This window comes from Homo sapiens, chromosome 22 (genome assembly GCF_000001405.40).
Source record: "Homo sapiens chromosome 22, GRCh38.p14 Primary Assembly".
Classification (NCBI taxonomy): Eukaryota; Metazoa; Chordata; class Mammalia; order Primates; family Hominidae; genus Homo; species Homo sapiens.
Window position 1 is genome coordinate 28,443,851 of NC_000022.11, and position 16,448 is coordinate 28,460,298.

The window sequence follows — 16,448 nt, forward strand, 5'->3', positions numbered from 1 at the left end:
ATACTTAGACTTGTAAGGCAGTTATATCTAGAGAAAAAAAAGGAAAAGGAAAGTACTCTAGGCCAAAATCTTAATTTCTGATTTGAAGAAAAAAGATTTGAAGTATCTGGCAGAATAAAATATTTTAATCAAGAATTTTACCCCCAATGAACTTTAATAGATTCCATTTCCTTCTCTAAATTTAGCACTAATTTCATTACTATAAAAAATATTTCTATGGGGATTGAGTTTCATTCATCTTCTGTGAAATCATTCCATCCTATTTAAGGAGATACATCTACAAATATAAAAATATTATATAATTCTACTATTTATCATCCAACATGTCTGTCAACTCCTAAACCACCATAAAGCTGTTTTGATAGCTGGGAATATAATGGGTAAACTACTAGAATACCAACTGATATGCATAATAATAGTAACTGATGTACCAATGTTCCAACAATGTTTAACTTATTACCCTCAGACTTCTGTATGCATTCCCAGGATTAGCTAATGTGGGAGATTATATGCAGATTGATCACTAACTATATCAGTATAAGTAAGTCATTAAAACACCCAAAACAATTAGTTAACTCAAAGGGACTGCTTTTGAGTTCTTTTCCAAGCCTGAGAATCTGAAATTCAATAGAGGGCATTATCTTTATAATAATAATATTAACAATTTTAGCTGAATGAACAGGTACTATTTATTGAGCCACTAGTCTATGCTAGAACCTATGCCTACATTCATTATCTCACAGCCCTGCAAGGAAGGTCTTACAGTTCCATTTTCCAGACACTGAGATTCAGAGTGCTCATTTACTCAACCAAGACCACACAGGTAGAGCATAGTGGGGCTAGAATTCAGACCCACAATGACCCTACTAGAGCTTATGCCTTTTCTAGGACATGCATCATAGCTACATGCGAACTTCTCGTCTCAAAAAACTTAATAAGTACTACTGACTTAAGCACCTATTATTTCACTGCCAGTCCCTGTTCCAAGTACTAGAAATATGAGTAAGATGTTGTCCCTGCTCGAGAAGATTACATAACTGCAGGCGGCAGTCACAAGTAACTCCAATACTCTGTATATATTTGACATATCAAAATCATTCTGGACAACTTTACTTGGATATGCTACTAGCACAGAAAGCTCAATAAATTTTAAACCAAATTCATCAATCTACTCCAAAATCGGCTTCTCTTCCCAACTTTCCTTTCTCTATCTACAACACCATTATTATTCCAGGATCACAAACTAAAACCTAAACATCATTCCTTATGTGTAATCTATCACCAAGTCCTCTCTTTTTTCTTAGACATCACAAATTCTTACTGCTGACATCTGAAGCCAGAGCCTCACAAAACAAACATACATTAAGTATCAACTAGATACAAAGCATCACATAGGATAGAAAGGTATAAGACTAAGTCCTTATGCTGGAGAAAGTTACGAAGAAGTTAGGACAGAACCAAAAACCTGTAAGAAGACAACCAGGCACTCACTGTTTAGTCAGTTGAGCAACAAATGAATTAGGTGGTCAATAATTTCAGGTTCTCCAGGAATTACCAAGGATAAATCATCAAAAACTGGGATGGTCAAGGAAGATTTCACAAAGAAACTTGAAGTAAAAATTCAGAGGAGACACAGCTTAGTCTGGAGCCAAAAGCCAAGGTTCTTACCATGGACTGTAATGCCCTTCAAGATCTGGACCCCTCCACCTTTCTGAGCTCACCTTTTACCCTTTTCCTATTCCCTTACTCAGCACCTGCCATACTGCCCTCTCACTGTCCCCAGAACATGCCAACCATACACTTGTGCTCTCTGCCTGGATTACTCTTCCTCCAGATGCCCTCTTGGCTGCCTCCCTAAGTCCCTTCAGGAGTCTATTCAGATATCATATAGAAAGGCTGTCTCTCACAATCTCATCTAAGATAATATACACTATGACTCTCACACTGTTCCTTTCTACCCTACTTACCCTGTTACATTTTCCTTCATAGCCCTGATGACATACATATCTATACACACACACACACACACACACACACATATGTATTTCTAAAATGTTCATTCACACCACAAGAACATAAATTCCAAGGGAGCAGGGACTTGACTGTTATAATACCAACACCCAGTGAACAGTGTCTGACACACAGCAGGCAATCAATCAATATTTGTTGAATAAAACAATAAAAGAAATAGAAACAAGATAATGAAGAGAATAGTGTCAGCAAAGGAGGCAGACATACTTAAGATGTGTTCAAAATACAAAATAAAAATACCGAGCCGGTATCTAAAATACAAGTATGGGAATGTTAGAGGCAGGGACTTTGTCTTGTTCAACTTTGTAATCCCTACTGCCTAGAACAGTGCCTGGAACAGATACTGGAACAAATACTCAATATTTTTTAAGGCAAAAGAATGAATGGGGTGTGGGGGTGGGAGGATGGAGAATGAATAGTGAATAAATTCCATTCCATTCCATATAAAGATACTTTGGCAAGGTATGTTGGAACCAAATGGCTGGGAATGCTGACTGTAAGGCGATATAGTTTGAATGTTTATCCCCTCCAAATCTCATGTTGAAATATAATCCCCAATGTCAGAGGTGGGGCCTGGTGGGAGGTTCGGATCATGGGGCTGGATCCCTCATGAATGGTTTGGTGCTGTCCTCACTCGGAGTTCACTTGAGAGCTGGTTGTTTAAAACAGCGAAGCACCCCACCATCATCCCCCCATCTTGTTCCCGCTCTTGCCATGTGATGCACCATCTCCCCTTTTGCCTTGGACCATGACTGTAAACTTCCTGAGGCCCTCATCAGAAGCAGATGTTGGTGCCATGCTTCCTGTATAGCCTGCAGAACCATAAGCCAATTAAACCTCTTTTCTTTATAAATTACCCAGTCTCAGGTAATTTACAGCAATAAACAGTCCTGTATAGCAATACAAAAACAGACTAACAGATAAGGCAAAGAAATTTGGACTTTATCCTGTAGGATGCAGAGCATTGAAGCTATAAACAGTAGGAAAAGGGTAGAGTTGAAACTGCATTTTTAAGCAATCTAATATATAACAAAATATTAACTATGATTTTATAGAGCTGTTTTTTCTGAAAACTCTGTGCCTGATTAAAATGCTTATTATGACCACTTGACAGAAAACAAAACTGAAGTTCAGAGTACCTAAGTAACCTGTGCAATGCCACAGAGCCAGTCAATGGCAGCAGAAGAGCTAGAATCCAGGGTTCTTTCTTATAAACCACTGTCTGGGTGATGGGGCTAGGAACCTACAATTGCTTTAAGAGTTAAGAGAGACATTTCTACTTTCTTTACTTCTGACTTGCTATATAACAAAAGTTTTCAGAAAGGGAAGGCAAGTAACATAAATAAGTGAAACAGAGACAGGTTAAAAAAAAAAGGGAATTGTGAGGATTGTAAACCTAAAGATACATGAATCATGTTAAAAGGGGCAACTGCTAAGCAACTCAATTGATGTCCTTTAGAAATATCAATTCAGCAATATCAGATCCTCTAAATTTTCATGAGAAGCTAAAAATTTCCTAACTTTTAACTGTTTGCTCAAAAATTCTAAAGCATCCTAACAGGCCAAACAAAACCTGCCTATAGGGCTAAATTCCATCTGCAAGTCCTAATTTGTGACTGCTGATTTAAACCACTCAAGGCTTCAGTTTCTCATACGTAAATTAAGAGACCCAGTATTTCCTAATCTGTTGGGGTGGTTTTTCTGAACGCATCTGTGAATCCATATGCATACCACACATGGCCTGTAGACTGAAGTCTCGGTCTTAGGCTCAGATGTTGCTGGACTTAATAAAGTTATTTAAACTGGGGGTGGGAATACAGAATCTGAGAACAGTAAACTGTATCAAGAAGGGAGAAAATATATTTATGTTTCTGTAGAAATAATTAATCTAAAACTTCAAAGTGATACAAGGCTTTAAACTGGTTTTCAATTTTTTAGGTATATTTCCTTTGGGTCGCTTATTTGTGATCTGTATAGCACTTGTTTCCCTGCTGTCTGGCTTTCGTTTAATAGGTACCACTCGACAGAGGACTATTACCTAAAGCCTTTAAATACCCACACCATCTTAAATCACCTTATTGTTTCTTCTTTCTTTCGCTTACTCCAAATTGAACCTGTATTTACACCTGAAATATTTACAGAATTACTATTGTATCAATATTTTTTCATTAGGAATGATTTATATAGAGCTACTAAGCCAGCATAGTTCAGAATGTTAAAATTTAACATTATTGTTTCAAAGATCCAGCATCAAATAGTAATTACACATTTTCCCAGGTCTGTAGGTATTTTTATGTCTCCTTCATTTTTTAACATAGCACTTTGCAGATCACTTCTCTAAATGCAAATACTGAAGAACAGTCAATTAAAATAGTATTTTACTCAATAACCACTTGCCTATTCAAATCTGAACAAAAGCAAGAAAGAGAAAATGAAGAAAACACATCTTTTTCCATTGTAAATTTCTTCAAGATTTCCTAAGGAATGATGTATCTGACATTGATCAAAGGATAAATGCCTGAAAAGGCTAGCCTCATACTTATTTATATTTATTGTGTTTTAGGCGTAGAAATTTGAAAAATTTGTTCAAATTTTGAACCAATTCAAAATTTGTTCAAAAATTAACATATTTGAAAAATATGTTAATTTTCCTACAGACCTCTAAATTGTGTTCAAGTATCTAAGGAGGTGTTAGAAAAATAAAGGGACAAAGGTAGAAGTGTATTTGACACCACAAAAATGTTGCCTCATTAGTGACATTTCACACAGTTGGGTAATCCGAGAATCTCAAGGCCTCACTTTGCTAGAAAAGAAATTAAAATAACTTGTTGCAGGAAGAATTCTGCCACACAGCCCAGGTGATGCAGGACCATGCTCCCATTCCCCTAGCAGAAAACTGCTACAGATCACTCCACAACATTCAAAGCAGATCACCTCTGACCTTACCCATCTCACTTCCTTCCACTATCAGGCAGCTCCAGAAAGGCTGAAGTTCCACCCTTTAAATACAACACATTTACTGAGTACTCATTATGTACAAGGGAGTGCTGTAGACACTGTGAGAAAACAAAAATGAACCAGATGATTTTGCCCTTGAGGAGGCAGGAGTCTGGTGGAGGTCAAAAGAGAAGACAGGTACACAACTAATAAAAATAATAATAACAATAGCAGCTAACACTGACTGATCTTGCTATTTATCTGACTCTTAAGAGCCCAACTCTTAGCCAAAGCTAAGTGCTAGAAGAACGAGAATAATTAGTGGCATATTCTCTCATTAAGTCTAAGGAAGCCCTAAAGAGTAATTAGGTCTGACTGTAGTAACTGAGAATGGTTTCACAGGAGAGGTGGCACAGCATTCTCTCAACAAGTAGGGAACACAGCATGAGCCAAATCATGGAGGTATAAAAGCATGAGCTACATTAGCAAGCATCTAATAGATCTGAAATCTATAATGCAAGCCAAGCTGTAATGACCTGTGGAAGGCTGTGAATGCTATTCTCTTAACAGTACAATAATAGCTATCATTTATTGAGTATGTACCAAGCATTGAAATATTTTAACATTTTTTATTTCATTCAAATAACATCTTCCTAACACTCTTATGTAGAGGAACTATTATTATGCCCATGTTATAGGAGAGGAAGCTAAGGCTAAAGAATTAAGCAAATTCCCAATGTATCATGGCTAGAAAGTAGAAGAAAGGAAATTCAAGTCAGTCAGATCCAAAGCCTTGCTTTTAACTTCTGACTTAGAATACAATGATGAGCCAGAACAAGATTTTAATTAAGGTATTGACAAATCTATTTGAGTTTTATGCTGATAATTCTGCAAGTATTGTGGAGGATGGAAAGAATAGGAAAACAACAAAGACAGGAAGGCCAAATAAGTTTCTGTTGCAACAGAACAATAAGGAATGAAGAGGCCTTGAATTAGGGCAGCAGAAACAGAAAAAGGACCTTTCTGAGAGACATTTCACAAGTCAAACAGGTCCTAAGAGCCTGTTTCATGAAAGGAACCAAGAAGGATTTAAAGGTGATCCCCAAATGTTTCACCATCCGTTAGAAAAAGAGACACTCCACTAACTGAAGTATAGATCACAGAAAAAAATGTTGGATACTGAATTCTGTTTAAGACTTGTAGGATCTAAGGTACTTAGAGGCACAGGGATGTGAAGTTAAGTAGGTGGAGATATGATTACAGTTAAGGATATATATTGATGTAGATATTGATATAGATATGGATAAATAGAGCTATAAAGAGATGGGGGGTCATTGACATGATGATGATGACATATATATATAAAGCCTTAGGTTAAAAAAATTCTTCCAGTGATGAAGTCTGGAGCAAGAAGAATTTTAAAAGGAGAGAAAAAGAGAGATCATAAAATTGAGTCTTGAGCAATACCATACTTCTAAACACAACCGACTTCACTGCTCAGATGGAATGTGAGACTTAACCAGTTTCCTGAGGCAGCAATTTTTATTTGGCCAATAATGCCTGGTTCAAACCCTAGATCCACCACTTACTAGCTGTGTGCTCTTTTGTTACTTCATTTTCCTGTACCTCAATTTCTAACTCTGTACATGGACATAATAATAACACCTACCTATGATTTTTGAGATTAAATTATATATGTAATTATCCGCACACAAGCACACACACAATATATCCCATACGTATGATAATCCTATATGTTATTGTTACTCTACTAGTTTTACTACGCTAACTCTGAATTTTTTTCCTCTTTCATCATCACACCATAGACTTTTTACAAATTATAAGGGCTGCAAAGTACCAGAAATAATGCTCATGTGTTTCAGTGGTATAATCATTTTTCTAATGGGACTTCTGTTTCTGTCTACGACACAACAACTGGGACTAGGCTTACTTTCCTAACATAACTAAAAAACTGGATAAAATAAAGGAAAAATACTGCTTTCCAAATGTTTCAGACAATAGGCAGCACAGTACTATGAACCTTAAGATAAGCAAAACGAATGACATGAGCCCTATGATCACTCTGGCTTTCTGCTTGGAGGCACCTTCCAGACTACAGGGCAGGAAAGGGATCCCAAACAGAGCACGAGGATCTTGCTGAGTTGAGAAAACAGAGATCAGTGTTTAAGGAGGATAAAGTAGCTAGAACATTCAGAGTACAGAATTGGAGCGGGCTACGCAGACATGGAGCTCCAGAAATCAGCACAGGAGTCCTCTTAAGTTTTGGCTGAACACTAAGTTGCCAAAATATGGTGAAACTCCACAAGGCAAAGTGGGAGCCATAAGCTGAACAACTGCCAGAGCTCATCAGGACTGCAAGACTTCCAAGTGTCAACCAGACAGAGTGACGGGATATCATTGAATACCTGGGACATTCAGTAGAGACCTCAGAAAGGTCATGTCTTCGCAGAAGGGGTAAACTAGCCCAGACTAAAGTGTACTCTTAACTCACTCTAACAAAGCTTACAAATCAACCTTAAAAAGTGCAACACTCTTTGAAGGAAAACAACAAAATCCAGCACTCAATGAAAATGTCCAGCATTCAGTCATTTTCCAGTGATGCTTATGAAAGAACACAGGTGTTAGCCTGAAAATACAGTAAGTCTTCACTTAATGTCATAGATAGGTTTTTGGAACTGCAACTTTAAGGAGAACAACATACAGCAGGTCCTCAAATAACATCTTTTATTCAACATCATTTTTATAATGTTAACAAGAAAAAGAAATTTGTTTCATTATACATTAGTTCACTAAAAGTCACAGTTTCCATGAACCTATCAACAATGTTAAGTGAGGATTTTCCATACTTACTTGTTATCTCTTTGGCAGGCAGTTAGTCTTCATCATAACAATGCTATGACTATGTTATAAATTTTCTTATATAAATCAGGTTAATGGATTGTAATACCTTTGGCTACAATCTTTTCTCTACCAGGTGGCCACAGCTATAGTGCATGTGTAATTTTGCTATTATATAATTAATTGGGGGAAATTTCAGTATGTCATACTTAATTAAAACTTATCTGGAATAGATTCAGTGGTCACATATTTGGGCCAGAATATACAGCTTTGAAGTTATTAACTTTCCCAAAGAAACCCTGATTATTCAGTGGTAGTGACTGTGTGTATGTGTGTATGTGTGTGTGTGTTTTAAATATGTACATTTCATTAAAGAAAGATGCTTGAAGTGGGGGCTTATTGACTTGTGTGTTTTTAACCAAAAGAGGCTGGCCAGGCGCGATGGCTCACGCCTGTAATCCCAGCACTTTGGGAGGCCAAGGTGGGCGGATCACAAGGTCAGGAGATCCAGACCATCCTGGCTAACATGGTGAAACCCCATCTCTACTAAAAATACAAAAAAATTAGCTGGGCATGGTGGCATGCACCTGTAGTCCCAGCTACCCAGGAGGCCGAGGCAGGAGAATCGCTTGAACCCAGGAGGCAGAGGTTTCAATGAGCCGAGATTGTGCCACTGCACTCCAGCCTGGGCAACAGAGCGAGATTCCATCTCAAAAAAAAAAAAAAAAAAAAAAAAAAAAAGAGGCTGTATTTCTCTGGCTATGGTGAAAGAGACATAGGGAAAGTGGGTCTTTTCTTAATCCTCGAGGAGAAAACAGATCATAGGAAAAGAAAGTCAATAAGGATAAAATATTCTTGAAGTGCATCTGGAGGCCCTCTAATAACTTGTTGCTTAACTCTACACTTATGAATTCATAAGCAATCAAGTGTATTATATTCACAGAGCTAAAATATGGACATGGCATGAGAGAATAACCATAGTCATTTTGTGGGGGAATGGGACAGGGGCGGTTAGGGAGGTACTTTTTACAGTTGTTAAAATGCCTAGCATTGGAATTGCCATACTCTGTTTTGGGGAACTTCTCGATTATCTGAGTCATGGTGGAATATAAAGAATATCTCATGACAGCAACCAAAAAGTTCAGATAATTACTTTCCCCTACCATCTGAGTTAGGATGAAGACACAATACCTAGCCCCAGTTCTTTACCAGAACATTGAATGTAAAGCAAGTGACACAAGGAATAGTGGCAGAGAGAACTTGCTCTGGAAGTAGCCACAGCAACATCCAGTTTCTAGGGTCACCAGTGCGAGAGGATCTCATGGGGTATCCTATATCCAGCTCCAACAGTGATGACTCAAGTTCTGGTAGCCAGGGTACAACAGTTCCTGTATACAGTTATGGATGAGATCCAGGTACCTGTTTTCCCTTGGATTCTGCCCATTATCTAAACCTGATTTGCCAGCCACCTTAATGATTCTATGAGCCACTCAACATCTTTTCAATAAAGTCTCCTTTCAACAAAAACAGTCACAGTTGCTTTCTGTTACTTGTAACTCAGAACTCTGACTGGCTAGCAAGACACATTAGATTTTGTTTATATTAAAACACAAATTTTTCTTGCATGAACATATCCACAGGTCTTCTGCCCTCTATTCTGTCTATAATTATTCCTCAAAGACCTCAGCCAGTCTCAAACTGCTAACTACCATCTCTTAATTCATGACTCCCATATTTATGCCTCAAAAACCCACTTCTCTACTGAGCTCCAGACTTGTAACTGCCTACCCAACATCTCCTCTAAGATGTCTAACACACATCTCAGACTTACACAGCCAACAAATCTGGTCCTTCTTCAATTTTATTTTATATCAGTTAATGGCATCTCTATTCATCCAGCAGCTCAGGCCAAAAACTTTATAGTCCCCTTTGATTCCTCTCCTTTCCTGGCCTCAACATCCAGTCCACTAACAAGTCCTCAGCTCTCTCCCAACAAAATCTAATCCAAATCTTGCCACTTTATCATCATCTCTACCCTTTCTCTTTAGCAACAGATGCCATCAACATCATCTGGTCTACTACAGTATCTTCCGCTCTGCCTCTTGTGACCCAGTCTCTTAGTGTAGCCAGAATGATCTTTCTATAAATTGGGTTGTACATTTCCCCCTGCTTAAGACCCGCTTAAGGCTTCCCTTTGCACAAAATATAAAATCCAAAGGCTTTAACATGGCCTACAAGGTCATACATGATCTAGCCTCTACTTTTCACCCTCATTTTTTACCATACCTTCCCTTAACTGTGCTGCAGCTATACCTGCCTTCTTATGCTTCCTTTATGACCTTGTTAATTGCAGTTATGTCTACCTGGAATATTCTTCCTGAGGGATAGGTATTTCCTTTTCCACATTCAAGTTTCTTGTCAAATAGCAAGTTCCCAGAGAGGCTATCCCTGACCAAAATTAACCCGCCCCCCTACTCCAAATGATTACATACCCTATTACTTTAGTTTGTCTTCTTCAAGCCACTTATTACAATTTGAAATTACATTATTTCTCATTTAACCTCTGTGCATCCAATAGCTTATAAGCTCTAAGTAGTGCTATCTGCATTTGTTATCCAATCCTTAAAACATTTCCTAGCATATTAGGTACTCATTAAATATTTACTAAACAAATAAATATAATGTTGGTTATATGATAAAACTAAATATATAGAATTTCCTTTTGCAATAAAATGTTCAGCATGGCATTTATTCACTTGTCAAGGGATGCCTGTAAATACCTTCATTCTTGAAAGATATACTCTCCCAAGGAATACAAAAAGAGGTCATTCCCCTTAAGACAGTTTTACACCCAGGAGTAAGTCAGAAGATACTTAACTGAAAGAAATATGTTTCTGAAAAGTAAGCAGTAATTATTCTGGAAATAATTATTGCCCAATAATGTCTTTTATTGCAAGAACTCCAATAGTGTCACTTTCTGTCTTCATTTACACTGATGAGAATCTTGTATAATCCAAAGATGGGTAGATAAAATGATCTTTAGATAGTTTAACAAATAAATTTAACACACTTTGAAATTTTTAGATGAAGTACAAATCACTTGTCAAAAGTACAATCTTATTTGTCAAAACATGAAAATGAAAAAAGAGAAGACACAGAAATAACAAGCTCAGAGCTGCCAAACTGACAGGCAGCCTTAAGTGAGATAGTCAAAACATACATATGCTAATTTTTAAAGTGCTGTCTATCTGGCCACCCATATGAAAACATGAGAAAGCTTTTTCTTCGTATTTCAAAAGTATATAAATGGGTCAGAGAGTGGACACTCTGATTACCACATTAAGCAAGAGAAATTAAGAGTATAAAGAATTTTCCATTTAAGTTCTGAGTGCACATATAAGAAAACTATTAACTGAATTTCATGGGAGGTAATTCAGAAGATCCAACCCCCACAACAATATTCATACCACCTATAACATCTAACAAAATCACTGGCAGTGTTCTGGGTATAGAACACAGTGCAAGAGATAACTTTCCATGTTAGCAGCTGAGGTTAGGTACATATCATAAATGGCAAAAATCACACTTCCAAAACACTACTGAAATTGAGTTAAAGATTTAAATAAAATGTACAGATATTATTTCTAATTATTTTCCTTCTTCATTTAATATAATAAAAGGTTTTCTTATTAACATTTCTCCTAAGCAGTCCTCCCTCTTGCAACACTACTGATTCTAAACAAAAGAGCATCATGGCCAGGTGTGGTGGCTCATGTCTGTAATCCCAGCACTTTGGGATGCCGAGGTGGGTGGATCACCTGAGGTCAGGAGTTCAAGACCAGCCTGGCCAACATAGTGAAATTCCATCTCCCTAAAAATACAAAAATTGGCCAGGCGTGGCCTGTGCATGTCTGTAATCCTAGCTACTTGGAAGGCTGAGGCAGGAGAATCACTTGAACCCAGGAGGCAGAGGCTGCAGTGAGACAAGATTGCACCACTGCACTCAAGCCTGGGTGACAAAGTGAGACTCTTTCCCAAAAAAAAAAAAAAAAATTAGCATTTCCTTGAAATGTTCCCTTCATTGGGTTGATGAATTTGCCATCATATCTACACTTACATCTCACCCACTTTCTAAGATGTGGAATTCAATCTAGTGATACAACTAACTTTTTGCTAAAATTTGCTTTGTAAAGAATGCTGGACCAAGTATTGTGGGTCATGCCTGTAATCCCAGCACTTTGGGAGGCTGAGGTGGGGGGATCACAAGGTCAGGAGTTGGAGACCAGCATGGCCAACAGAGTGAAACCCCATCTCTACTAAAAATACAATAAATTAGCTGGGTGTGGTGGTGGGCACCTGTAATCCCAGCTACTCAGGAGGCTGAGGCAGGAGAATCACTCGAACCTGGGAGGTGGAGGTTGCAGTGAGCCGAGATTGCACCACTACACTCCAGCCTGGGCGACAGTGCGAGACTCTGTCTCAGAAAAAAAAAAAAAAAATGCTGGTATTTCTAGATTTGGATTCTGATATTCCGCCACTAAAAAAAAAATGTGGCCATGTATAATCCGATCCCATTTATGTAAAATGTCCAGAATAGGAAAATCCATAAATACAGAAAGTAGATTAGTGGTCACTGGGGGATGGAGGCAATGAGGAGTGACTGTTAATGGATAAGAGGCTTCTTTTGGGGGGAGATGCAGATGTTCTAGAATTAGATAATGGTGATGGTTGCATAATTTTGTAAAAATACAAAAAAAGTGAATTGTAACTAAAATATACAAATATTATTCTTAATTATTATCCTTCTTCATTCAAAAGGGTGTATGTGGTCAGCTTTCCCCAATTCCTCCCCCAAAAAAGGTTAATGTATAATTCTGTCTACTTAAAACTTTTTCTCTCATAATTTTTTTTTTCTTTGAGACGAAGTCTCACTCTGACTCCGGTTTGGAGTGCAGTGGCATGATCTCGGCTCACTGCAACCTCCACCCCCAGGATTCAAGCGATTCTCCTGCCTCAGCCTCCTGAGTAGCTGGGATTACAGGCGCATGCCACCATGCCCAGCTAATTTTTGTATTTTTAGTAGAGACGGGGTTTCACGATGTTGGCCAGGATGGTCTCAATCTCTTGACCTCGTGATCCGCCCACCTCGGCCTCACAAAGTGCTGGGATTACAGGCATGTGCCACCGCACCCGGCCCATAAATTTTTAAAATATGTGTCACGAGCTACCACTTGTCTTCCATACTAGACAACAAAAATAAACAACTAGCAAACTAATGTCGGCATAAAAAGTTGAGAAAACAGTCTTAGTTGAATGGTTTATTTTATTTATGGGCATGTACTGATGCTATGAATTTATTATAAGTAAGACCACAGAATACATTTCTATAATTATCATTGTCTGTAGCTCATTTGTAAGACAAAATAAAATATGTCAGTATCTCACAGCACTCTATTCAGAACACCACGGCCCTTGCAGTGTCTTGTTTGGATACATTTGAGCCAATGAAATGGAACAAAGCTAATTAGGCCGAGTAAGATGAAACTAATCTTTTTCTTAATAACAGTATGTATTACACTAACCTAATATATCTCAGCTATGACCATGAACTGTTTAAAAAACATCAACAACCAGTGCATAACCCTTTTCTCAATATCCTCAACCCAGGCCAAAAAAGTAGGTGCAAAGGTTGTTTCATATAATCCTCAACGATTTTAGCACCACCACTACAAAGATAAAATTTTTAAAGTCTAATCTTAAAATACAATGACAATCCTATGTGTTAAAATCCGTTCCAACCTACAAGAAACCTAAAAAGAAAACCTCTGCTTTATGAAGCACGGTCATAGCTCATCGACAAGTAACAGTCACAACTTTTAGACTGTATCTGAAAATCCCAAACCCATGTTGTTTATATAGCAATTTCTAGCTTATCATAGTTATTTTTATGTATATGAAATTTAAAGTCTCACATAATAATCAAATCAAATAGTACCATACTGTTTTAATTATTGGTTTTTAAAATTATCCTTTATTGTGTGGTAGGATTAATCCCCTCTATCATTAGCTTTATTTTTTCAAAATAATCTTTCATATTTTTATCTATTCATTCTGCCACATAAATTTCAAATTAATCATGTCAACTTCCAAGAAAAATGTGATTTGATATTCTAATTAACATCGTATTGTCCAGAAATAGTCTTGGGCAGAATATATGTCCATTTATTCAATTCCCTTTTATAACTCTAAATGAAGTTTTGCCATTTTCATTATCTAAAATTATACGTGGTCTTTATTTAATTATTTTTAAGTAATTTTTGCATATTATAAATGTGTATCTTTTTTCCATTTTATTTTCTAACTTAGAACGCTAAGTGAAATGCTGCTTATTTTATGGAACTCTTATTTTTTCTAAAATCTCAGTCAACTTATTTGGATTTACTAGGTATAAAATATGTTTGCTGTGTTTTTACCTTAATTTGATATGAAAATCTGTTTTAAAGTTTGACTTCAAAAAGCTTAGAGTACAATCCAAAATAATAACACAATACATTTAAATGAATATGAGAGCAACATCTGAGGATTTCTACAGATACAAAAATAAAATAAAACAGATAAAGTAATAAATTCATCCAAACAGAAGTTCAAAACTTAAGAAAGTATATTTTACCTTGAAGGTAGTATGTACTTCATTTCAAATTTATATCTACAAACCACTCTGAAATGGGTCAATTTGAAAAATCCCAAATGTATCTAAGCCTACTTTTCAACAACTTCCTAGATAATCTCTCCTGAATTAAAGTTCTTAAACAAATCAGAATGTGGTAAAGACAAAAACATCTAAGATATGTTCCTGAATATGAGGCCTAATCTTTTTTAAAATTGGTTTCTGAAAGGTAATATAAAAATATTTACCAAAATAGGCTGGGCATGGTGGCTCACGCCTGTAATCCCAGCACTTTGGGAGGCCGAGGTGGGTGGATCACGAGGTCAGGAGATTGAGACCATCCTGGCTAACACGGTGAAACCCCATCTCTACTAAAAATACAAAAAATTAGCCGGGCGTGGTGGCGGGCGCCTGTAGTCCCAGCTACTCGGGAGGCTGAGACAGGAGAATGGCTTGAACCCGGGAGGCAGAGCTTTCAGTGAGCCAAGATCATGTCACTGCACTCCAGCCTGGGTGACAGAGCGAGACTCCATCTCAAAAAAAAAAAAAAAATTTACCAAAATAATAATACCAATATCAATGTGCTCTAGTTTTATCAGATCATGAATGCATCATGCATCCCAATAAAAGATTATTGAACATAACATCCAGAGCCCAAAATGTCTCCTAGCTGCAGGGGTGGGTGTGTGGACGTGTGTGTGTTGACAGAGGGGTAATGGTAGTATTAAGTGTTTGAGTTTGAGAGTTTTTCATTCCTACTCCAAAGATCCTAATCTCCTTTTTTTCTAAAAGAAAGCCTGGGCCAGGCATAGTGGCTCATGCCTGTAATCCCAGCACTTTGGGAGGCTGAGGCAGGTGGATCGCTTGAGCTCAGGAGTTCGAGACCAGCCTGGGAAACATGGTGAAACCCAGTCTCTACCCAACAAAATACAAAAAATTACCCAGGCATGGTGGTGCACACCTGTGGTTCCAGATACTCAGGATGCTGAAGTGGGAGGATCACTTGATCCCCAGAGGCAGAAGTTACTGTGAGCCAAGATGGCACGACTGCACTCCAGCCTGGGTGACAGAGTGAGACCCGGTTTCAAAGAAAAAAAAAATTAAAGAAAGAAAAAGAAGGCCTGAGGAAGGTGCATAGAAGCAGGCAGAAACTGCCTTGGTCTTCAACCCTTCAAAACAGAATCAAAGTGCCACCGACCCCCCTCCTTCAGGTCAAAGCCACCCACATCCCAAGACCAGTTCTTAATTTTCGCAGAAAGCATATATCAGCAGTCTGCTTTCTTTCTTGTTACTACTGTCACTCCACATTAACAATGCAGCTATCTTGCCTTTGTCCTCAGTCTTCTGGGCTGAGTCCTTACCCAAGTTTTTTTTATTCCTTGTCTCTGACTACCCAGAAATCGGAGTCAATGCCTGGCTCTTGCCTTCAAGAACACCTTGACAGCTGACCTAATATCTGGCTCTGATCTTTGGTATGTGCCTTGTCTCCTATTCTGGACTGTCCTCTGGTCTCAAACACTCCAGGGTTGGCTATAACTATCATTTCCAAGGTTGTGCTTTTAGGAAATGTTGGCTGTCCTGCGGAGAGAGAATGGGGAGCCAGGGAAACATATTCACTGAGAAAGTGCTAAATAAAAACAAATACGTATACACTTAAAAATAGTTAAGATGGTAAATTTTATTTTACGTGTATTTTACCACAATATAAAATTTTCGGGAAAAAAAATAATAGAAGTGAAACTCAGAGTCGACAGAACAGCTATTTGTCTATCTAGTTTTATCTAGGAGATACAACTAGGATTATCAGAACAAAAGTTGAATAAGCAAAAGAAGCCAGGTCAGACTCAAAGTATCTTAACATGAAGATTTTAATATCAGGATGTTTTGAGTCCAGAGATAAAGTCGTGGGTAAAGGTTGATTGTGGTGGGATGCTTTTTTTGTTTAACTAGTTTT

The 16,448-nt window shown here is 37.7% G+C and overlaps 1 protein-coding gene and 1 non-coding gene across 10 annotated transcripts in view; one reads left to right on the forward strand and one right to left on the reverse strand.

The window, feature by feature from the left end:
• TTC28 (tetratricopeptide repeat domain 28) overlaps nucleotides 1–16,448 on the reverse strand; it is a 701,827-nt gene that overhangs the window by 465,837 nt on the left and 219,542 nt on the right. The gene's annotated exons all lie outside the window — the stretch shown is intronic.
• MIR5739 (microRNA 5739) lies at nucleotides 16,019–16,098 on the forward strand. The gene has a single exon (NR_106713.1). It is a non-coding gene; the product is annotated as a microRNA 5739 (primary transcript).